The sequence below is a fragment of the Homo sapiens genome, chromosome 10, assembly GCF_000001405.40.
Source record: "Homo sapiens chromosome 10, GRCh38.p14 Primary Assembly".
Lineage (NCBI taxonomy): Eukaryota > Metazoa > Chordata > Mammalia > Primates > Hominidae > Homo > Homo sapiens.
This window is the reverse complement of record NC_000010.11, coordinates 101,648,655-101,675,111: the sequence shown is the minus strand read 5'-3', so window position 1 is coordinate 101,675,111 and position 26,457 is coordinate 101,648,655. Positions and strand designations below refer to the sequence as shown.

Here is a 26,457-nt window from a genome sequence, read left to right as displayed (position 1 = left end):
AGCTGCATTTAATGGCCCGTCAAGTCAATTTGCAGAACTTTTCCACATTCCCATGACACTTGTACGAGTCTGGGGAAGAAACACAGCCCAGTTTACTCAGACAGGCTTGGGAATAGGAGATGGTGGCTGTTCTTGGGGATGAGTCAGCTGTCCCTGTGCTTTTCTTGGGACCTGGTAACTCCAGAACCCCTATGTAGAATAGGACAGGTGGGATGTCCACCTTGGGAAAGGGGCTTAGTTTCCACCAGAGAGCCTAGTATCTGACAGTCTTCTTTCTTCTTAAGTCTCATTCCCTGCCACAGGACTTGTCTGTGGCTTCTAGCCTTTCTTCCTCCTGTCAGATTGCAGAGGGAATCTAACTATTTGTGGATTTCTCTTATCAGTTGCCTGTGAGAGCTGACTTTCTCTGTAGCCCCTGAACTGTAGCAGAATGCTCTGGGGCTGTGTTTTTCCATTGCCACACTTACTCTCTAATACAGAAATGTAGATATCCCTGTGAGGATCTAGGTATCTAATCAGTACATTAGCATCCTTTCCTAAATGGCTTCATTCCTTTCACTTATAAATGACCCCTTAGCTCTAACAGAATAAGGGAATGGGGCTTCCCTAGGTTTATTCTTCTCTTTTCTCCATCACACCTTAACTGATCTATTGCGGAAGAGGTATGTATGGGAATCCTAGAACCTTGAAACTTCCCACTTACACTTCAAATTAATGAGGATGCAGAATGAAAGAAAGTTATTTCACTTGGCTAGAAGATTTCTTTCTTTCTTTTTTTTTTTTTTGAGACAGTCTCCCTCTGTCGCCCAGGCTGGAGTGCAGTGGTGCGATCTCGGCTCACTGCAACCTCCGCCTCCCAGGTTCAAGCGATTCTCCTGCCTCAGCCTCTGGAGTAGCTGGGATTACCGGCGTGTACCACTATGCCTGTCTAATTTTGTATTTTTAGTAGAGACGGGGTTTTATCATGTTGGTCAGGCTGGTCTTGAACTCCTGGCCTCAGGTGATCCACCCACCTTGGCCTCCCAAAGTGCTAGGATTACAGGTGTGAGCCACTGTGCCTGGCTGAAGATTTCTTTTTGACCCTTCTCACCCCTTGACCGTTGAATTTTGTAAGCTCTGCGTACCCATGAGAAGTCTAGGTAGCCAGTAATTGAAATATTAAATATTCTCCAATTAAAAGTGGTATTTAGTTGGTCTTTTAATTTTGAGTCTCTTTTACAAAGTCCAGGGAAGTTTAGATCACCACAAGGCTCAGTTACTCTAGTTTTCTGAGGATAGCTGATGGGCAGGTAATTTTGAAGGAGGGTATCAAGTATAGATAATAAGCCTTGTTGGTTATCCTTACTAAGTTGGGGATTGGTCAGCTTCTTCAAAGATTGGAGTTGAGTTTTCATACTGTATCTTGATGACTTTTAAATTTTCTTTTCCATCATTTCAGTCAGATGCCCTGGATGCAGCTAGAGGATGATTCTCTGTACATATCCCAGGCTAATTTCATCCTGGCCTACCAGTTCCGTCCAGATGGTGCCAGCTTGAATCGTCGGCCTCTGGGAGTCTTTGCTGGGCATGATGAGGACGTTTGCCACTTTGTGCTGGCCAACTCGCATATTGTTAGTGCAGGAGGGTAAGTGCTATAGGTTTCTCCTTCCACCCTTTTCCATCTTATACTTCGGGGACATTCTGCCTGCCTCTGACTTTTCTGTCTTAACTCCAAAGGGATGAGGAGGGAGACCAGAAGGGTTTTCCATTTAAAGCAGAGAGATTTTACCAAAAGGAGTTAATAGGGTTAGCTGGAGAAGGAAAACAGGAAGAGCTTCTAATGAAAAGTGAAGCTGGTTTTGATATTCTCCAGGGGAAAATATATTTTTTCTCTCAGCTCTGTTCAGCCCCAGGTGTGCTGAAGAAGTAAAGGTATCTAGAAAGTCAGCACCTTACTGGGCTGAATTGTCTAATGCTTAGCAAATTTGGATGTCACTGGAGACTTGGGCTGTTTCTGGAGAGTTGTTCTCTTTCTACAGAAAGAATAATTGGTTCTTGGGGGTCGGCTCCTTATTTCTCTCCTAGGGATGGGAAGATTGGCATTCATAAGATTCACAGCACCTTCACTGTCAAGTACTCGGCTCATGAACAGGAGGTGAACTGTGTGGATTGCAAAGGGGGCATCATTGTGAGTGGCTCCAGGGACAGGACGGCCAAGGTGAGGTGGTCTCCCCCTTACATACTATTACTCCCTCCTGTCTATAGGGAGGGGGTGGATAGATCCCTGAGTCTCAGGATTGGCTGAGAGTATCGTCTGGGGACAGGGGAGAAAACGACACAATAAAGGACTCACTTATGTGCCTCTGGCATGCAGCTTGCCATGCCAGGCGTTGTCCCTGCCAGCTGGACTGGGAAAGGAGTGGACAGTGGCTGGGAAGGTTGCCACTCACTTGCAATGTGGCGTGAACTCAAAAACAGAGGACCTGGCAGCCTTTCCTCCCTGAGTTGCGTTTCCTCAAGTTTGTGGGTTGAGTTCTGACCCTAATATTTTATTTTAAAATCTCCCTCCTTTTGCCTGCTCTCTGTTTAGGGAGGTTAATTTTTCACCACCTTGTTTATAAGCAATCAGGCTGATAATTAAAATGTGTTTTCACTGCTTCTCTGGAGAGTGATGTGGTCAGTAAGCAGCAGAGACGATGAGAGAGGGGTGTTGTTTGTTGCATCTTTGCCAAATTGCCCGGTCCACAGATATCCACCAAGGCATAAAAGAAAGTAAGGCTGATAAATAGCATGACACTGGCTTCATGGACTCATCCACATCTGGATCAAATAGGCTTCCACCTGTGAGCAGAGAAGTCTTTCTCCAGGCTTGTGCCCAACAGCCCTAGCCAGGGCCTGCACAGGCCTGGTCCTTTAGGGTTGCTGTGGGAACTTTGCTGACAATTCAGTTGGTGGTGCAGGAGGCCCAATAGTGTCTTGTTATGTATTTCCTAGCATCTAGGTTCCATAGTGCTAACAGGAAAAAAATGCTTGCTGGTGTGTCAGCAAATGGGCCTCTAAAACACATAGGGAGAGGACTCAGGAGAGGGAAATTGCAATCTTTACTCAGTAACTTCTCTGACTGCATGTACCCTCTGGTGATTACACCTCCATATAGAAATATTGCTAATTTATGTAAAAAGAAGGGCTAAATATGTTCCCTTCTTTTTATGGAAGTTTCTCCTCCCTTTACTGTTTTCTGCCTTACTTTGTACTCACACCAGCACAGGAAGCTTGAGAAAAATCCAGCATATCTTTTGAACCAACATGGAAACTGAATTTCCTGTCACTTGCTTCCTATTACCCTACTTCATACTTACTTCAGGCTTCTGATTGGTCACTGTCTTTGTACCATTCCTTGAAAAGATTCTGGCCTAAACCTGTTATACTGCTCAAAAGTCAATTTGCATAGAAACCTTTTGTGGCATGTGTGACCTAGGTACTCCTGTCTTATTCTAGCCATCTTCCTGTCATGGCTTCAGGCTTACTCAAGTTCCTCCTTTTCAGTGACACCTCTTTCTTCTATTCTCTGTGGTCTGACACCCAGAACAGTATAAAACTAAGCTTTATAACCATAGGTAGCAATCTGAGGGCATGGATTACTTACAGTTGACGAAGAATAGCAAGTTTGTTTGAGATACTGGGTTAATTTCATGTTTAAGTACTGATTTAGCCCTATTTAGTATCTTAGATTTTTAAAAAGATCTAAAATAAGTGCTTCCTTCTAAAATTGTCACCACAGTCCATCTTCTTCCTTCTGAGGATTTCTTTTAGGTCAGTGACAGAATTCTCTTCTCTGGTCCTGCAAGCTGGTCAGCTGGTTTGCAGCTCCCCTGTGACTTCTCTGCCAACTCTTCTTTCCTGGCTTTCCGGATGCTGCCTGGGTTTCCCTCCTTTCTGTTGTTGTCTTTGCATCCAGCCACCTTTGTTATCCTGAGCCATTTCTACATTACTATTGTATTCAGTTTGTCTTTTATAACTGAAACATCATTTCTTTTCAGTGGCATCTGAAATTCTACAGCTGCTTCTCCAGGCTTCTAATACACCTGAACCTTCATAAGAATTTGCAGTGATATTTGCCTGTAACCATCTATTTTTGGGGAGTTTCCCAAATATGTACTGTATTTTAGGAAAGAGATTTATTTTATGGGGTAAAGGGAAGTAAAACAATCTCTTTGCAAGACTTCTGAGCTAGGGACTGTCCAAAGAACCCTCTTCCTTCCCCTCCCCACAAGCCCAGTTTCAGGTTTATTGTGACTTAGCTTGGATTGTGTCTCTGGGCTTTAGTGGGGCCAGCCCCATCCTGAGATGTGAACAGCTGGTAGCTTATGTTCTTAATGAGCCTGGGCTGGTACTAACCATTCCTTCATTTCCTTCTTTATTTCTCTGTTCTTTCTTATGAGTGCCTACTGTGTGTGAGGCTTGGTACAGAGGCACCTGGGCTCTTCAGAAGTAAGGGAGATAAAGCCTCTTATCCTTAGGATGAGAAGAGATGTGCGTACCTGGCCAGGGAGCTGATTGGAAGTGGCTAGGACTGTGGAGTATAAAGCTCTAGGGCAAGAGCCAGAAAGTGTAGAGGGTGGAGAGATCAGATCACATCTGGCTTAGAAGGGAAGATTTATTGTAATAAGAATCACCATTATTGTTTGCCTGATACCTGCCAAATACTTTGCTGCTGTGCTAGATGCCTTATACTTATCTCCACTTTTCCACACTATAACCCTGAGATAGGCATCATTTCCCATTTAACACATGTGGACACGGAAGCTAAGAAGTTACCATTAAGATCAAAGATAATAAGTAGCAACTGGGGTTCAAATCCAGATTGATCAGATGCCAAAGCCTATGCATGCTTTCTCTGCAATTGCATGCTGCAGGGAATATTTTACCATTTAGGTTTTTCTTTTGTTTTAGGATTATTTTCTTTAGGATAGATTTTCAGCAACAAAATTACTGAGTTAAAGCCTGTGGTCATTTTAAAAGTTGTGATGCGTATCACCAGTCTGCTTTTTAAAAGAACTGTATAAATGTCCACTCCCGGCCGGGCGCGGTGGCTCACACCTGTAATCCCAGGACTTTGGGAGGCTGAGGCGGGTGGATCATGAGGTCAGGAGATCGAGACCATCCTGGCTAACACAGCAAAACCCTGTGTCTACTAAAAATACAAAAAAATTAGCCAGGCATGGTGGCAGGCGCCTGTAGACCCAGCTACTCGGGAGGCTGAGGCAGGAGAATGGCATGAACCCAGGAGGCGGAGCTTGCAGTGAGCTGATATTGCGCCACTGCACTCCAGCCTGGGCAACAGAGCAAGACTCCATCTCAAAAAAAAAAAAAGTCCACTCCCACTGAATCTTTTCCAGGGATGGATCTGTTTTGAATTTGGCCATGGAGGGCAAAGATAGGATCAGCATATTGTTGTCAACTCTTGTCCCTCAGGTGCCAGGATGGAATCTCATGTTTCTGGAGGGTGATGTGCTGCTGGGCCAAGCCAGGAGGGCCACTTTCCTAAGATCTTGCTCAGAATTGGTGGCATGCTTCCTCAGCCGCTCCTGGAGACCAAGAACCTTGTTCTGTGGTTTGCAGAATCTAGGAATCAACCTTCCCTTTCCGTGGAGGACATTAGTGAATTCAGGCCTAGGCCTTCCCCATAGATTTTGTAATCAGAGTCCTTAGTGTTTCCTCACCCCCTAAGAAAGAATCTGCCTCCCAGGGAGTTTGTGTCAGGGAAAAGGCAAAGCTGTCTTTTTAGCTGGGCTGCCTAAAAGAGTACATTGGAAATGTATCTAGTTATTGCCAAAGAGGACTGACTATGGAGTCCAAAGAGTAGGCCAGAATCATGGCACTCAGGAAAAGTTGTGGTGTTTACCTTTGTTTTCTGCCCCTCCTCATTTAGGATCCTCTTAGTATGTTTATTTTCTTTTCACTGTGTTGGGAAAAGTAACTCACACAATCATCCCATCCCCCACCCCCATCATACACACAAACTCTAAAAAACACTTTCTCCTTTTATAGGGAAGAGTTATCATGTGACTCTTAAGAAGGCAGGACCACCCCTACTCCATCACCTACCCTTTAAACTCAAGGAATGTTTCCTTTAAAGTTCTTCCATCTAAGGTCCTGCCTGAGTTTTGTGTGTTCCCCTTATAGCACTGCTGGGACCTTAAGAGGTCACTGATCCATCTGGCTGCCTCTGGATCCCTCTGTTGCTGCTGTCTTGGGATAGTCCTGTACGTCTGAGATTTCCTTTCTGTTTGGTTAGGGGCTTATGTCCCTGTGTGTGTCATCTAGGGTAGGGTGAAGTGAGGGGGGAGCCCTGTGCTTAATGGGAGATGTCTAAATGCACTGACTGCTGAGAGGGCTCTGTGAGTGTTGATTAGAGTTAAGCCCAGAGTGGCTGCTAATGTACATTCCTGACTGATAGAGACCAGATAATGTGCTCCAAGCAATATTTTTAACCTGTAGGAGATATGGAAGCTTAAAAGAGTTAAGCTTTTCTGCTACTTTTGGTGACACTAGGTGTTAAATTCCCTGCTGACGTGAATAGTATTGGATCCTGGGCATTATCAACAAACAAACAACAACACACCACCTTCCCACTTGGAAGTCTCTCTTCTTCTTCCATTCTTTCCTTCCCTTGCATGTTTCTTTTTACTTCTCTCCCTAATTCTATTGCTGTCCCCCTATACTATGCCTTGATCTTCTTCCCTCTCCCTACTTCTCCAAAGTAAAATCTTGGTGAGAGATGGGAGAAAGGAAAATCCACAAATACAGGAAAGCTGTCAAAAGAGGCAAGCCCCACCCACCCACTTCTTCTCAGTCAAGTCTCCGCTGAGGAATGTGGAACTTCTGATTCCCCAGTGTAAAGTTGGCTGGTAAGTAAGGGCTGTCAGTGGAAGTAAAAGAGGGTAGTTAGGATGGAGAGCTAGGGCCTATCTGCGGGGGTAGGTGAGCCAGAAGCTGCAGGGGCCCCTCTGCTGATACCTGAGCTCTGTGTGTGCAGGGCATAAAGGATTCCCCATTTCTCCACCTCCAACAGTCACCTCTCCCGGAGCACCTCTCCTCCCCACTGATCCCAGGCAATGCCAACGAGAGCATCTCCTCTCCTGTTTCTAGGTGTGGCCTTTGGCCTCAGGCCGGCTGGGGCAGTGCTTACACACCATCCAGACTGAAGACCGAGTCTGGTCCATTGCTATCAGCCCATTACTCAGGTAAGGGAGACATATTTGGATGTGGTTTTGTCCTGTATAATAATGCTTTTATTTTACTAGATCAGGTGAGCTAGAAAATCTTCCTGTTGTGTATTCTAGGTTGCTTTGAGTCACTGTCTTGGAGATTTTTTAATCCTCCAGAGATTTGAGTTATTTAGGCCACTTCATATATGCGTGGGATTGAGATAACCTTCTAAATGCGAATTTCCTAAGCATCTAACCTCAGAAATGTTAAGGAAAGAGTACTATATGAGAATATAACTAAGAGTCCAGCTGTTAGCCAGAAGTGTCCCTTCTGGAACAGTTGTCCTCTGGGGTCATTCTCAAAGCAGAGGCCTCTCACCACCTCTCGGAGGTGACAGCACCAGCCAACCTGCTCTTACAACTCACATGTCTGCTTTGTTCCCCTTGGAAAATGTCCTCTGGAGTATCCCTTACAGTCTTAAGTCATCAGGAGAGGCTTGGGGCCCAGATCCAGCTGGGTCCTCAAACAAAGACATGTATGTGAAGTAGTAACATTGATTATTGTAGCAAAAGTGTGAAATTTTGATGATGGCTTTACTGTACCCTTTGGTCTGATTGTTACTTCTCTTTTTTATTATTATTTATTTTATTTTATATTTAGAAATGGGGTGTTTGGTTTTTTTTTTTTTTTGAGACGGAGTCTCGCTCTGTCACCCAGCCTGGAGTGCAGTGGTGCCATCTCAGCTCACTGCAAGCTCTGCCTCCCAGGTTCACACCATTCCCCTGCCTCAGCCTCCCGAGTAGCTGGGACTACAGGCACCTGCCACCACGCCCAGCTAATTTTTTGTATTTTTAGTAGAGACGGAGTTTCACTGTGTTAGCCAGGATGGTCTCGATCACCTGACCTCGTGATCCGCCTGCCTCGGCCTCCCAAAGTGCTGGGATTACAGTTGTGAGCCACTGTGCCCAGCCCTAGAAATGGGGTGGTTTTTTTTTCATTCTTTTTTTGTTTCTGTTGTTTTTTTGTTTTAGAAATGGGGTGTTTCTATATTGACCAGGCTGGTTTCAAACTCCTGGCCTCAAGTGATCCTCCCATCTTGGCCTCCCAAAGTGCATGAGCCACTGCACCTGGCCCTGACTGTTATATCTCTAACTTTACCTATGGACAAGTGAGGTTTGCATCCCGACTTCTGCTTTCGAGGCTCTCTGGAACCAAGACAGAATCCCTCTCCTCCCCAGCAGAGTACATAGACTCTCCTGTACCTGTTCTATCACAACATTTTCCTAGGATCTTCGTCCACTTCCTTCACCCTACTCACATGGAAATGTGAAAGCTGTAGGGCTGCCACCCTCCAACATTAGGTTTAAGTCAGTTGCTTATTTTATAAGAGACTTGGTCCTACCCACTTCGTTTAGGCCCTTCAGCTTCTTTCTCCTCACCCCATGGAGCCTGCACCCCTCCTCCTACTCCCTTCCACAACTCCCTTTCAATTTTTTTTCTTTCTAAGAATTAGAGCCGATTAGCCACGTCATTAATTCTTCAATTTGACGGCTGATATAGCAGGACCTGAAACACATTGCTGACCCCGGAGAATGGAGACCCCATTCCTTAGCATATTGACGATGAGAGAAGTTAATTAAAATTCCACAGAGCAGAGGTGTCGGCTAACCTATAAACCTGTCGCTGTTCAAAACAAATCATTCTAGCAATCGTAGGAAAGAGGGAAGGAAAGACCAGCAGGGAGTGGAGAGGCTAAGTGTGTGGGAGCGGAGAGTGGAAAATGGAGCCATTGAGCTTTGTCTCCTCCTCAGTTTCTTCCTAATGCTGCCCTTTTAAAAGCCAGTTAGCCAGACCTGGGTATCCGTGGGCTGAATAGAAGGAAAGTGCTATGGCCAGTGAGAAATGACAAGTGTGCTGGTGACTTTGCCTTAATGGTTGCTTGTGGACTTCTGCTGGTTTTGGGAGACTGGAGTGGAGGTGGTGGTAGAGAGAAGCTCTCAGGGCCGGAGATGGTCTGTGCGCTTCCTTCATATGGATTGAAGCCAAAGAACACAAACAGGCTCTGCCCTGCATCCCTACCCAACATTTCTCTATTCCAGCCTCCTCCTCTGGAATGTGTTAGGCTACCTCTTAACAGAATAGGGCACAACAACTATTGAAGATGGTGTCAATAAAAGAGGTTGAGGACAGAGTCTGCCCTCATCATTAAGAAGCATTTAAGATTACAGTAAACTGATTTTGGGTTTTTTGGCCACAACTTGGAGACTGACTTTGGGGAAGGGCCTAGCTTTCTGGCATTATTACTGCTACTACATGACTGCCACTACTACTAGCAGCTAACATTTAGTAGTCATCTGCTCTGTGCCAGACCCTCTGCTAAGGTCTCGATGTGTCTCATCTTTGGTGAAGACCTAGGCCTTATGTTTTCTTCCCATTCATCTTCAGGGTCTTCCTGTCCTCTTCTTGGCCCTGGGATGATTTTTTGAGAGGGGTCTCACAGTGTTACCCAGGCTGGTCTTGAACTCCTGGGCTCAAGCCATCTTCCCACCTCAGCCTTGGGATGATTCTTTCACTCTGTCAGCTCCTGACCAACAGTTTTTAAGATGGTCTTCCCCTAACTCCAGAATTGAGGTCTTGGAGTCTTTTAAAAAATAGTTTGTGTTTGAGATTCTGTCTTTACACTAGATGACCAGAGTGTATGCCGGTGTTATCTCTGCCTCTTTTTCTCTTACCCAAAGAATATACTGGGATAGGGTCTTTTTACCTCATTATTAGATCCATTTCTTCTCAATGTGACCTTGAATTTGAACCTTTCAATAAACTCAGCCATTTTCTCAGTCTTGAGAGACACTGCCTCCCAGCCTCAGGGTCTGTTCTTTAAAGCAGTCTGGGAGATGAGTTCTGTTTTGCCTTCAACTAGCAGTGTGGCCTCAGGCAAGTCATTCCCGCTCCCAGCCTCAGTTTCGTCATATTAAATATGAATACTATTTCCTTTACAGACCTTACTAGAATATTGTGAAGATGACCTGAAATAATCTATATGAAAATATTAATACTCTGAAAAGCTAAAAGGGCTGTAATATATGTGTTATGCATATTGAGACAGGGTTTCACTTTATCACCCATGCTGATTATGAACTCCTGGCCTCAAGTGATCCTCAAAAAGGGCTATAATGTAATGTCAACCAGAATCCTTTCTTGCCTGGTGTAGCATTTGCTTAGTGGCTTCAACTGCTGTCAAGTCTGTACCCTTTTCCTGGGCTCCTTCTGGCCCCAGGAAGTTTCCCTGCTCTTTTGCAGTCTTCTTGAGGTGGGGACTCAGTAGGAATCTCTCTTCCCCCTGTAGTGTTCCTGCCCTCAATGACCACCTTCAGTTCCCCTCCCTGCCACCATTCCTGTTGAGTATGGTTGTCAGTGTCACTAATATGATATGACCCTGGACTCCTCATGGAAAATATGAGGGGATGTGGCAGCCAGTGTACTGGCCCTAGGGCAGGTACTCCTGGTTTACCTGCCAATTTCTCAACCCTTTGTTGCTCCCTTATGCAGTTAGGAGGAACCTGGACAGTTAGGAGACCTAGCACAGCTCTTTTCTCAATTTATCTCTTTCTTCTATTTAAAATAATTTGTCAGATATATTAATCTTATTTATCTCTGATGCTGGGACTTTTCTACCTTATCTTCTTATGTATGTACTCAGGCACTTGTATGAAACATGAAACCTCAATCCAGAGGCTTAATTTGAGGTCCTCACGACTGAGAGAAAGCAAGTATCTGTCTGTGTTCAAATGTCTTCTTTCCTTTCTTACTTTACTTTGAGTTCTTGATTTGTAAAGAGTCATGGAGGATCATATTTAGTACTGGTTATGTGCTTAGAGCCATGTGTAGTCAGTCAAAAAACACAGAAGGAGAACCAGCAGGCTCCAAAGGAAAGTGGCAGGCAAGGACCTTTTCTTCTGCCTCTCGCATACCCTTCTACCCATCTTATTGTTCAACACCGGTAATCCTGTTTTTAAGATTCATGACCTGGAAAAGAAGCCCTTCTCCTGTAGAGGAGGTCTCACCTGGAGTTGTTGGATGATTGATAGAAGGACAGGTTAAGATGGCCCAGGAATGAGATGCTGGAGGCGTGCCTGGGGTGGAGGGGCATATGTCTGAGTATAATTATGGGGCAGGAATACCTTCAGCTCACAGGCCTCAGAGATACAACCTCCTGAGGTCACATGGAATTCTGAGCAACTTCCCAAGAGTAACACAGAAGGGCAGACTCTTTTTTTTTTTTTTGAGACAGGGTCTTGCCTGGAGTGCAGTGGCACAATTATATATCACTTGAACTATTGGGTTCAAGTGATCCTCCCACCTTGGCCTTCTGAAGTTCTGAGATTACAGGTGTGAGCAGCTATGCCTGGCCAAAAAGCAGATTTTAAAAAATGTGTAATATGTTTTATTGCCATTTAAAAATTATTTCCAGCTGAATACAGTAAATACTAAAGTATGAGGAAATGTAGAAATACTAAACACTTAACTTCATTCCCTTTGACTTTCCATCTCTTCCCTTCTCACCCTTTCACCTCACTCCTTGTGTATTTACTGAACACTTGATACGTGTCAGCTTCCCCAAGGATCTTATTCAGTGGTGGGGAGATGATAGGCACATGGCTGTAATGATTGCCAGATTATACTAAGTGCCTTAACCTAGGCTGTCCCTGGTTGGGGAGGAAGGGGGAGTGTCATTCTCTTCTGGGGAAAGGCAAAAATTGAGGCCCAGGGAAGATCAATGCAGGGCCACATGTGGAATGGGGCAGAAGAGGAGTAGTTTGTACCCAGTTCCCTAGCCTGTTCCCATGTCCTGTGTGCTGAGGGACAAGCAGGCCTTTTGTCATTGCTGTGCCTTATTCACCAGCATCTTGGATGGTAGCTGTGGCCCATAAAAGGCTCTGTGGGGACCTGTGAACATTCTCTCTTCCTGAAGGCCAGAGTTGAGACAGGGAGTGGTGGGAGAAGGCAGCATATGATTGAGGCTTGGGCTCACTCAGGTAGCTGTGAATGCTTGCACCATTCCAGGAGTGTGAATGCATATAGATCTTCAGCTTTCAGGGTCCCCTCCAAGCCACCCATGGGGGGCATGTGGTGAAGTGAATCTACAGATCTACATACCCTGTTTGCCTGGGAGGGGAAGGGAGAGGCGCCCACAGCTCCTCGTCCCTCTGCAGACACCATATGTATTGCCCTCCAAGAAAAAAAAGGTGCTTAGCAAAACCCTTTCCCTGTCTCCAAAGGACACTTGCTATCGTGTGAGAGAGTGTGGTCAGGAAGGCTTCCCATGACACTTGGGTTTTAATCCCTTCTCTCCCGCTTCTGTCATTAGGGAAATATATGAGTGGTATAGGTGTAGAAACTTGACTTAGCTGTGTTATTAAATATACAATATAATTTTGTGTAACTTTGCTTGCTGTGGTGGCCTGTTTGTTTTTGAGGGGATTAGTCCAAGTCTGCATGAAATGTACCGATTCAAATTTGTAAAGTGAGTTGCAGCCTCTGGGGGGTTTTGATGGAGGAGCTGCCCCTTCTTGCTTCATTTCTCCCAGAGGTGAGGGAGCGTCTGGAAGGAAAGCAATCACTGTGTACTGTTCGGTAAGCGGGTGGGTTTTGGGGAAAGGAGGGTGTTTGTTCCCAGTAGCTACAGGGTTTACTGTGTGTTGTGTGTGTGGTAGATGCATATTCAGCGGCCTGTTGAAATACATCTTTCTTTAGTGAAAGGTAATTGCATCTGGAGTTTTCTCTGACAGAGAGGTTTGAAAGATTGGAAAAGGAGGCAGCCAACTTGCAGTTCAGATTCTTTTGGTTGCCAGTGGTGCTGCAGTCCTTTGGCCCTGGACTTCATAACTCGCTGAGTACTTCTAGGGGAAGAAGAATCAAAAGTAAAGATTGTGCCTCTGAGTTTTTCTTTTTCTGGCTGGCTGTGGACAGCTGGGTGTAAAGGGGATGCTTGACCTTGATAACTCGAGGAAAAACTCAGGTGGATGACTATAGTGCTCTGCATTGTAGCTGGTCCTCCTGATGGCGTGGACTGTAGCTGACTTGGGGACCTCTCTCTTCTCCTTTCCCAGGGTCAGGGGCAGAGTGGGTAGTTTCTTCTGGGTCTTGTCTAGGGAAAGAAGACCTGAAGAGCTAGTCAAAGAGTGGCTTGGTGTCCCCCTTTGCGAAACTGCAGAGTAGAGAAGGGAGCTTCTTGCCTGTGGTGCCCTGGATGAGAGAGTTGCAGGGACAAAGACACCATGGAGGGCCCAGGGCTGGCATGGCTAGAAGGGGCGTCATGACACCCGGAGAAAGATGGAAGCTCCAGGTAATTCTAGGTGGGCCCACTGGTTCAACTGGCAGCAAGCTAAAATTGGAAAGGGATCAGTGTGGGGATGTCATTGATTTGGAGTCAGGTCCTGCTAAATCTCAGTACAGTGCCCTCCACCCTGGAGTTCATTGCCCATGCATATGCAAGCCTCTCAGACAGTCATATCCATCAGTAGCAAGGACCAAATACCACAGGGGTGGGTTTCAATTCCTCAAGACCCTGGATTTCTGCCATTACCCAGGGCAGGATAGGCACAGGGAGGCTCATGTGCTGAGCTGCTGGGCTGAGACCAGCACTCTCCGAGCCCTGGCTGGCCCAGAACCCATTTGTGGGAGCAGCTCCTTCCTTGGCCAGCACGATTGGCCCACTTGTCAAGAGCCGACTTACATGAAACCCTACAAGTAGAAGCAGAGGCTCCTGCAGACGGCTGAATACTGTGGATACAGAGTTGATGTGTCCAGACTTGGCCCCCTGCTAACAGGGATGCATTTCTATCCCTCAGTCTAGTGTTTAAATTCTTTCTTTCTCCATCTCTGTCTCTGTCTTTCTTTCTCTCTCCCTTCCTCCTCAATACCCACCTTCCACTCTCTGTCTTTCTCTCTTCAGATACTCCTTAAGCATTACCATGTTCTGGTCACTAGAGAGACAACAGTGAACTAGACAGCATAGTCTGATGGGAGAGACCGACAAGTAAAATAGGTAGTAGAGTGTGGTAAGTTCTCAGATGAGGTTGAGACAGGGCCTTGGGAGCACGCTGGACGGATCAGTCATCTTTCTCTTCCTCCCACTGCCTACACCTCCTGGCTCCAGTCCCTACCTGCACCACTCTTTCTTCCACTCTGCTCATCAGGAAGGGAAATGGGAATTTTCCTGCTTTAGCTGCTGCTGACTTTTCTGGGTTGTGTGTGCAACGTGCCTGTGTTTTTCCACCTTTGATCACCGTTCTGCCAACAGATAATTTAGCAATCACATCCCAAAGTGGAAGCATGGAGTTAATGTTAAAATTAGTTTTCTTTTTTTTCTGTCTTTAAATTTCAGTGGGTGATGAGGCAGAGAGGGAGGCGGGAGGGTGAAGGGGAGCCATAAATTCTGTGGCTGGTGTAGCTGTTCTCTGAGCAGCCGGGAAGCCTCTGATGTCTCCACAGCACTTTCATTAACATTTAAATTAAGGGTTTGTTTTTCAGTCTGTTTTATAGGCAGGGACCTTTCATGGCCTGTCACATGCAGCACCCACCCCCCCTCCCAACCCAACTTCCCAAGCAAGTGTGTAATTGTAGCCACTGCTGTATCCTAATCTGTGTTGCAGTCGGAGGTTCAAAGGGAATTCCTGGAGCTGGAGTTTTGGAGGTACAAGATGTAATAGTCAGGATGTCGGTGTTACTCCTCAAATGAAGGTGCTGTGTAGGAGCTCTTTCTCCTCTTATCTGACCTGTGCTTTCTCAGCTCTTCAAGGGACACACACTTCAATCTGACTCCGACCCCTCCCGCCCTTCCTTCCTTTGGGCCATGGGGCAGGTAGGAAAGGGTGCAGTCCATTCAAGTGATTTCTCCTTATATTACAAGTTAGGGCCGGGGACAGACTATTCTAAGATACAGATTTCCATGCTTATCTTCCTCCTTTTGATTATTATTATTATATTTTAGCCTCACAAATACTTCCACCTACCCCACTGACTCTTGGAGAAGTAATAAAATAAATGGGATTACCATCTGAGAATTTGTAATTACAGTAGGGTCCTTTGGTCCTAAAAAGTGTATTCTAACATGGATATGTGTATGCATACCATACATACTAGCTCTGCATGTACCTTGTTGGAAATAGCTTACTGATTGAATTTGATAAAGCTATTCTCCCAGATCTATGTATTCAGAAGAAACTCTACTACAACCTCAGGTTTCTGAGCTTCCTTTCACACAGAAATATTTGGCAGCATTTGGGGAGGTTTTGAAAAGACATCCCTGCTCTGGTCTCCTTCCCATCAGCACCCTGTTGATCTGTAGATGACAAGAATGTGTACTAGACACACATGAAGCATCTCATTGCTTCATAACCTCTGAGGGCTTAGTTTTCCCACTGCTGGTCTCTAGGTAGCTTTCTTCTCTGGACAGTGAAGAGAGGAGCATTGGGACCTTTCTCTCTTTCTGTTCAGAGGCTGAGAGTTTCCTTTCCCTTGGAGCCTGGACTTTACTGCACGAGTCACTGCATCTTTCCTCCTTCCTCCACTAAGCCACTCAAACCATCCATGACTTATCTGCAGGGTTCAAGATGGCTGAGTGTTTTGCCCTTCTATGCCAGGTAACCTTGTGAACAGGTGGACACCCTCATGCCCTGGGGTCTTGCCGAAGGGGAGTGAGGGAGGTGCTGGGGCAACCCCTCTGCAGGTGCTGCTTGGGCTCAGATTGCATGCTGGTGTCCAGGCCCCTCCTGGTGGTGATTAATCTGGGACACGGGCCGACAGAGGCCCAGCCAGGGCTGCTTTGGTCCCTCACTGTGAAGACCTTTGGCTTGGAGACTGAACTGATCTCTATAGCCTGCTTCGGCTTGGGGTTTGATCTGTCAAGGCTAAAGAGGAACCTGATGGTAGAGCGGAAACTTGTAGCCCTGTCTGACTTATGGCACTGATCCGTTCCAGTGGCCTTGTCATGATAATACTCGTATATTTAAGAAGATTTCCCCACCTGTTAGCTGTAACACTCAGATCAGTCAAAAGAGGGATCTTCATGAAAAATCTGTGCTTTTAGTTTTTTGAGCCAATGGAGCTTACTCTTGTAAGTAGACTAGGGGCTGGGTAGGGGTTTCTAATGAGAATGAGTAAAAAAGGCAATAATGAGGTTGTGGCTGGATTAGTAACAGAATGTATGTTTTTATGTGGAGGGGGTCATATCACAGGTAGAAGGATCACTCCATCCTCCTGCAATTAGGTGGCTCTCAGGCCACTTGGAGCAGATTTTCAGATTTCAGTATCTAGAATCAAGTCTTACCTTCCTCATTTTCTTTTTCATTTCAAACCATTCCCCCCTGCCACCCAGACGAAGTCTTGCACTGTTGCCCAGGCTGGAGTGCAGTGGCGCGATCTCGGCTCACTGCAACTTCCGCCTCCTGGGTTCAAGCAATTGTCCTGCCTCAGCCTCCTGAGTAGCTGGGATTACAGGCGCATGCCACCACGCCTGGCTAATTTTTGTATTTTTAGTAGAGACGGGGTTTCACCATGTTGGGCAGGCTGGTCTTGAACTCCTGACCTTATGATCCACCTGCCTTGGCCTCCCAAAGTGCTGGGATTATAGATGTGCGCCACCATGCCCGGCCTCAAACCATTTTTTTTATTTTTAAATAGGCCTCCCTCTCCCTTTCTATGTACCAGAGTCCTGGTCCCCAGGACTTCCAAGCGGCAGTACATGGTGCCAGCTATATTTCTTCTCTGAGTTCAGGACAATCACACGTGGCTCCACTTGATAATGGGCTTAAGGCCCAAGAATAGGAATTCTGTTGCCCATGACAGTTTCTCTGAATCAGTGAGTCTTAGTGAGTTTCATCATTACGGTAGTGCCATTTGGCAGTTAGAAGCTTGGGATTAAGAGCTAGGGAATTTTCCTCATACCATGGAGAAAGAGAATAGGCACCATGTTGTACACTAGTAGAATATGTTGATACTGTTGATGTGGGAAGCTGGCTATAGAGACCCTATGAATCATAAAGGTTGTGTTGATACTGAATTTTGCTTTGCTGACTAGAATTTTACACATGATGACAATAAAGAATACATGCATCAGCAGATCAATGAATATTTTTGGCTCTTCCTTCAGACTAGTACTAAAAGGTCTCTGACTACGGATTGGACATCTGCTAATCCCTGTGCCTCTCTAGCAGTTTCTTGAACAAGACTCTTTAGAAGTTTCAGATAGTGAGCTTTTTTTTTTTTTTTTTTTTTTTTGAGACAGAGTCTCGCTGTGTTGCCCAGGCTGGACTACAGTGGCGTGATGATGATCTCAGCTCACTGCAACTTCCACCTCCCCGGTTCAAGTGATTCTCTTGCCTCAGCCCCCCAAGTAGCTGGTACTACAGGCAAGCATCACCACACCCAGCTAATTTTTGTATTTTTAATAGAGATGGGGTTTCACCATGTTGGCCAGGCTGGTTTCGAACTCCTGACCTCAGGTGATGCCATCCACCTTGGCCTCCCAAAGTGTTGGGATTACAGGCATGAGCCACCGTGCCTGGCCAGATAGTGAGCTTTTGGAAGTAGGCGTTTTATTTCTTGTCTCATGTAAGAGTTATGTGCTTGTGTGCCTCAGACGAAATCCCTCTGCCTCTGGGGTGCCCTAGTAAAATGATTACCCAAGACCCTTGCCTCATTTCCAAGCTTGTTCTTACTCCTCTCTTGGGCCAGGACATTTTCCACAGGGAGTAATGGGTAACATGGTCTGTGGGATCCTGTCATATAGGCTTGGCTCAGGCCTATCTGAGGTGCTGACAAGGGCGGGAGGATTGGAGGGAGGAGGGAAGTGACTATGTGCATGCAGAAGCCATGGTAATTGCAAAGGGAATATTAGTCCAGGAGCTGCTGGCCCAGGAAATTGCTTTCTGTAGAAGCTTTCCTTTTCATGGTTTTCAATGCAAATTGAAAACATAAATGGGCACAGAAAAGTGTAGGGGGGACAGGTGGGGTGCCAGTTGGGATGTGATAACATCCAAAATCTTCAGCAGGGTCTTAATTTGCAGAAGAGAATTTCAAGTAACAAGAGAGAACCTTATAGGATATTAAAATAATGTTAGAGCATGTTTTGCTGTGACCTTCCCACCCCCATGTTTTCCATGTACTTGTGTTTAGGCTCGTCTCTGGGCCTGCTTAGCTTGCCCTGCTGCCTCTTCCTCCGCTCCTTCCCACAGCAAAGCCATAATCCAGCTTTTAGAACAATGGCCATGGTAGTCATGGCATAGTATTTTGGTTTTCACAGCAGGCTGGGAAACAGTAGCCCCATCCAAAGTCAGTGTGCTTTAGAAAATGTACACATTGGTCCTGGGGACTGGAGCCTCCATATGTGGGCTAAAGAACATGCCTCTTGAAGGCAGGAGCTTGCCTGCTTTGAGAAGGTGTTAAAGCCAAGGCTCATTTATGTGTTCTCTCTTAAGATCAGCGGGTAGGCTTGATGAAGTAGAATGTGAGGCCACCAGGCCTTTTTCCTCTCTCGATTTCCCACACCTCTAGAGAGGTGTGACTTTCTGGTTCCAGGCTGGAGACACTTATGTCTGTGTTGCCTCTGGATGCTTTGGGGATACTGGCCAATAGGATAAGCATGGGGTGACCACCACTTTGATTATGTTGGCATAGCAAGTGATCAGGTGAGAAGCTTCAGACTGGTTTCTTTCTAGCTGCTGAGCTAGACAAGAAGACACAAAAACAGGCCAAAAGGCAGTGTGGAGGGTGAGCTTTTCCAGTGTAAATATACCCAAGTAGTAGAGAATACTATGGAACTGTGGGGGCTTCTTCGCTTCCTTTGTGTGGGGTTTCAGTGCGCAGGTGACATGCATTGGCTGAAGAAAAAGCTGAGATGTGTGAGGTAAAGTGAAATGTACCCTTTCTGCCTGTCCCCACCATGAGTGTTCCTTCCTCGCTTCTTCATTGATTGGGGAATTTTGAAAGAGAAATTAGCTTGATTCTTGCCCTGGGTCCAAGCTGTGGTGCCTGGTCAGAACTTGAGTTTCAGGAGCAGTCTCCCACTAGGATGCTGTCCAGATGTAATCAGCCACTGCTTAGCACATGCTCCTCATCCCAGACTTACGGCATCATGGCCCTTCCGGGCTGGAGAGGGTCCAGTCCAGAGCACGAGACTCACTGTCTCTTTCTCCCAAGGACTCGACTCATGCAGGGTGTTTCCTTCTCCTGCTATTTTCCGCCTTGTTGCAGCTGCAGCTTTAGCTGTCCTAGAGAAACCTGGGTCTTTCCTCCTGTGCCTGAATGAGAAGAGAACAAGTGAGTGATTAGGGTGGGGTCCTATGGTAAATGACCTAAGAGAAGGGTCAGCTGGGCATGATGGTGAGATTTGTAACATTTGGCAAAGAGGAAGACACACATGTGTTAATGCCTTTGAAGTGTTCTTTCCCTGCCAGTTGGACTCTTACTAGTATCCAGGGTGAGCTGTGGTTGAGAATTTACAAAAATTAATAGGAAAAAAAACCACAAATTATTCAAAGGATTCTTCCAGTTGTTAGAAGTCTTTGGTCCGGAAAATCCTTCTTTGCAGGCTGATAAGGATGAGTTCAAGAATAAAAAGAGGAAAAGTTAGAGTTTTTAAATTGCATTAGGTTGTCAATGAGTATCAAAATTAAAACATGAAAACCTTTTGACACAGAAATTCCACTTCTAGGAATTCATTGTAAGGCAATAACCAGACAATTCTGCAAGATATATGTACAAAGACTTACATTAAGAACACATAAATAGGCCAGGCATGGTGGCACACACCTGTCATCCCAGCACTTTGGGAGGCTGAGGTAGGAGGTTCACTTGAACCCAAGAGCTCAAGACCAGCTTGGGCAACAGAGTGAGACCCCATTTCCACAAAAAAATCTAAAAACAAAATTAGCCAGGCATGGTGACATGCTCCTGTAGTCCCAGCTACTCAAGAGGCTGAGGTGGGGGGACTGCTTGAGCCCAGGAGATTGAGGCTGCAGTCAGCTGAGATCGTGCCACTGCACTCTAGCCTTGGTGACAGAGCAAGAGTCTGTCTCAAAAAAGTAACAAAACCAAAAGAAACCATAAATATCCATGAGTAGGGTTCTGATAAAATATTTTATACTATGTTCCCTCAATAAAATGCTATGTAGCCATTAAAAGGATGACACAGATATACATTTATGGAACCAAAAGATGTCATAGCAGATTGTGGAATGAAAAAAGGTCAGAAAATAGTATGACAGTTTATTTAAATATCTCTTCAGGGTTTTTTCTTATATGGTGGATTTCTGTTGATGTTTACTTACTTTTTACTTTTAATGTATTTAAATTTTTTATAATGGTCCTATTTTATAATTAGAAAAAAGAAATTACATTTAAATGTCTATTTTAATATCAGGCAGCTATGGAGAGAATACTCCCTTTTTTTCTTACATAATTTTTAAAATTAAGGATATATAGACCTACATTTACTTTCTATTTTTAAATAGCCTTATTGAAGTAGAATTTATATATCATAAAATTTACCCATTTAAAATGTACAATTTAAGTGTACAATTCCATGATTTTTAGAAAATTTATAAAGTTGTGCAACTATCACCACAATTCCATTTGAGAACATTTCTAACACTTTCAGAAGATCTTCCCTTACATTTGCTTTTGTATCATTAAACATGGTTTCATGCTTGGGACCTTTTTTGGGGAAAGAAATAAGTAAACATACTAGAATTTTTTAAAAGGATAATATAAGCTTTGGATTTTTTTTTTTTTTTTTTTTAAGACGGAGTCTCGCTCTGTCGCCGGTCTGGAGTGCAGTGGTGCAATCTCGGCTCACTGCAACTTCCGCCTCCAGGGTTCAAGTGATTCTCCTGCCTCAGCCTCCCAAGTAGCTGGGATTACAGATGCATGCCACCACACCTGGCTAATTTTTGCATTTTTAGTAGAGATGGGGTTTGACCATGTTGGCCAGGATGGTCTCGATCTCTTGACCTCGTGATCCACCTGCCTTGGCCTCCTAAAGTGCTGGGATTACAGTCGTGAGCCACTGCGCCTGGCCCCGAGTGCCTGTCTTATGGATGTATTGAATGCTGCTGTGTGCAAGATCACATGGGAAGTATGAAACACAAGAGACTGTTTGTTTTTACCGTGTAGGAGCTTATAGTGCAATTGCGGAAACAATGCATGTACTGAAACGATAATTTATTTGGTTATATATGCAGTGTAAGTGCTAGCAACTACTGGGGTTATTGACAGGAAATCAGAGGAAAGCTGTAGCCTTGTTATTAAGTCAGAAGAGCTTCATGGATGACATGGAAGTTGAAGTGGGACTTACATGATGCCTGTATTGAAATTGCATAAGGGAACTTCAAGCAAGGGGACTGGTCTGAGCAAAGGCATACAAAGAGATGGGGAAGCTAAAGGTAGGTTTGGGAGTTCAGAGTGGACAAGTCTGGCTCGCTGGAGGGGAAATTTGGAGTCTAGTTTTGGAGGGTGTTGAAGAGCAGAGTTTGACTTTAACTTGAGGAAAATAGGGAACTTTGGACCGTTTTGGGCCAGATTGAAGCAGTTAAATGGTTTATGTTGTGCTACAGCATATAGGATTCTTTGGAGGAGAGAGACAGGCTGTTCTTTTCCAGGAATACACTTTGTTAGCAGGAAGGGACCAGACTCGTAGGGACAGTGGGAAGACAACTTTCATTCAGGAAAACTATGTAGGAAAAAATCAGTAGTCAGACATGACTGCACATCAGGGAGAGAGGGAAGAGACGAGTACCTCTGTGAGCCTGATGATGGAGGAGGCACTGGGTTTGAGAAGACTGAATTTTGTTTTATGGGACAGTCAGGTGGCAATGGCCAGAGACAGCCCAGGAATGGTTGCCTGGAACTCACACGTGGGGTTGAGATGTAGAAGGCCTCAGCATAGGGACAACAGTTGAAATAATGTGAGGGATTAGCACCAAAGGACAATTCAGAAATAAAGACAGTGGAGCAAGGAGAAACAAAGAGCCAACATGTCCAATCAGAGGCAGAAGGAAAACTAGGAGCCTGGAGAAGAGTAGATCAGCCAGCCAGAGTAGATGGTGGACAAATGAGTAATTCGGGGGCAACTTACATAAATGAATTTATCTCTGCCTTGCTTATTATGCCTTTTCCCTATTCTGATTGATAGATACCACCAATAAGGTAAAAATGTATACCCCTAATGTTGATGCATGGAGATTTATAAGCATTTTCTTTTCCTTGCTTGATTTTAGCATTTTGTTTTCAAACTATAATAAATTTGCCTTTTTTTTCTAGTTCTTTCCTCTGGCTCTTGTTGTGTTTTCTATTGTTCTACCCTGTCGTTATTATTATTTTTTTCTTCTTGAGGGTTGCCTACTTTGGGCTTGGTAATTTTTCCCCCCTCAGCTCACAAAACCAGGCAGTGGGATTTGGAGGGTCAGCAACTGAGCTAGAGATGGTAAGTGACAAAGTGAGGGAATATCGTGGATCCCAGTTGTTCCTCCATGTGTACTGGTATCCAGGGCGAAGCAAGAGAGACTGATTTAGAATCAAGAAAAAAGCTACTGACCACGGATGTTGCCATTTGGAGTGGTTTAGCATCAGAGCCATAGGAGCTGCTCAGGTTCAGGGCTTGCTTGGGCAGCTATGGCTGTCTGAAAACTTTTTTTTTTTTAAAGAGATATAACTAAAAACTTTCAAGTCCTCGGATTTTGGGGGTAGTAATTCCACAGGGCTTGTCATTTGTGTTTGAAGCTGGTGGTGAGGAGGGCGGAGTGAGGAGAAGCGAGGGGGTGGAGATGGGAAGCAAAGAAGGAATCAGAGAGAGAAATTTTATTGAGGGAGAGTTTGCTGGGTTTATGGGAGGGAATCTCTCCCCTCCTCCCCATTCGGATTTGAAAGGGCCGGTGAATCTTTGATTAGGTGCAGGTCAAAAGAATTTACACATTGTGACCTTAATAACTAGAGGTGATTGGCAGGCGGGCTGCAGGGAGAGGGCCGCGGCCCCCTTTCATCTCACTTAGCACAGAGGAGAGACAATGGGCCAGCCGATTTTCCTTGTTGTCCCTTGTTTGAAAAGGTCTGGTGTCTCTACTAGGTACCTGTGACATGGGGGTCTTGATTGGGGTCTCATAAAGGCCCCTGTCAGTATGTCCAAAGGCCAAGAGTACAAAAGCAAGCAGTGGGTGGGGGTCTCAGCTGACCACTGAAGAAGGGAGGGGAGGGCCCGGGAGGCAGTGGAGGGAGAAGCAACCCCCGATGGGAGCCCTTATAGAGGGAGGGAAGGAGGGGGGCAGAGAAGGGCCATTTTTGTCCCTAACTCATCAAGCACATCTGCAGAATTGTCCAAGCTGCTGCCTCCTGGTTTCAAAAGAAAAAAATGATTGTTTGATAAACCGTCCCTGATTCACCACTTTCTCACAACGGTGGGAGACCCAGCCCTGACCTCTGTATGATTTCACGTCAGGACCAGGCTTTCTTTTCCCACCCCCAAATTGCTAGAGAAACTTTGAAATGTATCCTGTGGCTTTCTCTCCCTTCTTTCACCCCCCACCCATTTCCCACCCTCTCCACCCCACTGGCCTCTGTTTTCTCTCTGGGCGCTCCAGAGTGTAGGCGAGTAATTAGTCCCCTCTTTCTGGGGCACAATGAAGCCAGGGTGTTTGGCGGGCCCCTTCCCACCGCTCACAGAGCTGGGGCCTGGGGGGAAGGACCAGGTGGCATGTGCAGTGTGTTCCAGGCCTGTACAATCCCTGGGGGACAGAGCTGGGGGCTCAGAGACTGGTGTGCTCCTGTTTCTCGAAGGAATGTGCAGAGGCGCATGCATTAATGGTCCCCACACAATGCTTGCATTTTTTTTCCAGGCAGAGGCATCTTCCCCGTGAAAAGGCTGCCGAACTCAGGGCCCAGGCGGGAGATTTGCCGGCATAGTGGCGTTATTTCCCACCCTGCGCTTAGTCACTTGGAGCTAACATGGGAGACCAACAGGCCGCGTCTCTCGAGAGCCCGATCTTTGTATCCGATGTGTGCTCCCCCTCTGCCCTGTCAGTTTTGTGTGTTCACGGAGTGTTGATTTTAATGCGGGCCTGTGTTGGGCTGGGAGGCCAGGCTGGGGGGCCTCAAGTCTTTGTCTTGCAGGGCTTTTTCTTCTTGGAGGGTCTTCGGCCCTAGAGGCTGGTGGCAGATTTGAGAGGTAGGATGAGATGCCAACTCTGGCTGGCAAAGGATTCCCCCATCCATGTGTCTGTCACAGACCACTGTGGGGTGCCTAGAAAACAAGAGCACCTTGGGATGCTCGAGCACACACTTGCTTGGCACCCCACCACCCCTTGAGGGGGGCGGTTAGTTCTACCCCATAGGGCTGCCAGCTTGAAGTGAGTTAAACCCCCCTTGTGACTGGGTCTGGCAGGAGCACAGATTGTGAGCCTCAGGGAGCCAAAGCAGGGCCTTGCTTGCAGGGCTCTGAGGGAGGTGGGGGCAGGCAGGAGGGGTGCTAGAGCACAGGTCAGCTGCAGAGACTACTCTGCAATCATTAAGGGACAGGAGAGAATAGAGACCAGACAGAAAAGAGGCAGAGTGTCTGGGGAAGCTTCAGGAAATCACAAATGCTCATCTCAGGCAGTTGAAGGGGAATGTCCCTAGGAACTAGGGCCTAAGTGGAGGCATTTTCCCCAGTGAGGAGAACTGGACATGGTCACAGGTAGAGCCACCAAGGACCAATGAGCAGGCTGTCTTCTGTCTTTACCACTCACCTTGCTGCAGTATAGCCTTGTGCCAGGAGCTTGGGGATGGGTTCTGGGTGGGTACCTTATCTCAAACCCTGAGTCTTGCTGTGAGACAAGATGCCTATGCATGACTCAAGGAGAAGGAGACTCTGGGGAGCCTCAGCCTGGGTGTGGTCTGCTCTGCTTCTGGGGAGAGCAAAACTTCGAGTACCTGGAGTCAGGAAGTCAGTGGATGAAGGCCTCCAGGCCCCCAACCATGGCCAGGCTGTAGCTCTGGCATCCATGTGGTCCTGGGGCTGGGGGCCATCATCTGGAATCAGGCTTTTAGAAAGGGGCTGTGTCTTCACTTTCCATATGGATCGGAAGGCAGAGATGCAGGCTGGCCGCTGAGATGAGGTGGCCCTGGGGAGGCATCCCGCCAAGGTTCACCAAGCACAGGGGCTCCTCTGTGCTGCTGTTGGCATCCTTCAGACTGTCTTGGGAATTGGCGCCAGTCACACTGCCAGGCCTGACAAGGAGAAAGAAGCTGGAGCTCCAAGGTCTTTGAGGGGCCTAAATCCCAAAGGAACCCATCAGTAAGAAGCAGCTTCTGCTTTGGGTCACTCTGTTTCAGAGGACATTTCTTTCATTGGGAAATAGGCACTCCCAGCAATACCCACCCCTCCTTTTTCCTTTTACTGTTCTTTTTTTTCCTTAATATTTCCAAATGTTGTTCCTCCCTTTCCTTCTCTTCCATTTTGTGGACAGCTCATAAAAAGCCTGAGAGAAACAGAGTTTATGTGTATGGATGTGATAATGGTGGGTGGGGCATGTCAGAGATGGTTAGGCTGGGGCTCCCGGATTGTAGAAAGCACTGTGACTTCCCTGGGCTGCCCTGCCAAGGCCTGGCTGGGAGGGCAATGGCACATCATAACCTTTAAATGCAAACTTGATGGAGGAGAGAGATGAAATCATAGAAACAAATTAGATGTATCTATAGGGGGTGTTCAACTGGAGAAAATGAGCATTTCTTACTAATTGGAGTTCAGCATGCTTCATTATTAGCTTCATTACAAGAGGAAGAGTACAGCAGCCTCTTTGGGGATTCCCTGGGCTGCCTTTTTTCCTTTAAAAATATAATTGTATTTATGGTGGAGGAAGAAGCAGGAATTGCTCTTGGTAACTTTGTGGAGCACCCAGGGATTTAAAGCAGAGTTTGGAGCATGGTAGAGGAGAGGGAGAGATGGACTAGTGAGAGGGCACTTAGAAGCCTCATTCCTTGATGATAAAAAGGAGGTGGGAAAAGCTCTGGTGGGGATGGGAACCTCCCTTCTCAGACTAAGATTGAGGAATTGGGAATGACAGGAACAATACTGATCAGAAAACCTGACTTTCTGGGAGATCTGATATTTGACTATTTTAACTTTTGTATTAAAAGGGTAAAATGGTGGAATGCAGACACAGGGTAAAGGTCTGACAAAACTTGTTTTCCAGCATACACAGGATCTTCTCCTCATGGGCCGGGGAAAGGCTGGGG

At 46.1% G+C, this 26,457-nt stretch overlaps 1 protein-coding gene across 3 annotated transcripts in view, besides 1 other annotated feature; it reads left to right on the top strand.

The window, feature by feature from the left end:
- The window catches only part of FBXW4 (F-box and WD repeat domain containing 4), an 84,630-nt gene that overhangs the window by 20,184 nt on the left and 37,989 nt on the right, over positions 1 to 26,457 (top strand). For 2 of the 3 annotated variants that reach the window (NM_001323541.2, NM_022039.4), the window contains exons 3-5: positions 1,439 to 1,624; positions 2,065 to 2,197; positions 7,132 to 7,226. In NM_001323541.2, the coding sequence (NP_001310470.1) occupies positions 1,439 to 1,624; positions 2,065 to 2,197; positions 7,132 to 7,226 (414 nt within the window). The remainder of the gene's footprint in view (positions 1 to 1,438; positions 1,625 to 2,064; positions 2,198 to 7,131; positions 7,227 to 26,457) is intronic. The other variant, NR_136613.2, reaches the window with a different exon arrangement.
- Positions 3,262 to 3,341: an enhancer, noted in NCBI's record as "active region_3914". NCBI's record gives its function as "activates an Ori minimal core promoter by ATAC-STARR-seq in GM12878 lymphoblastoid cells {active_cell/tissue: GM12878}" and the evidence as "EXISTENCE:reporter gene assay evidence [ECO:0000049][PMID:35858748]".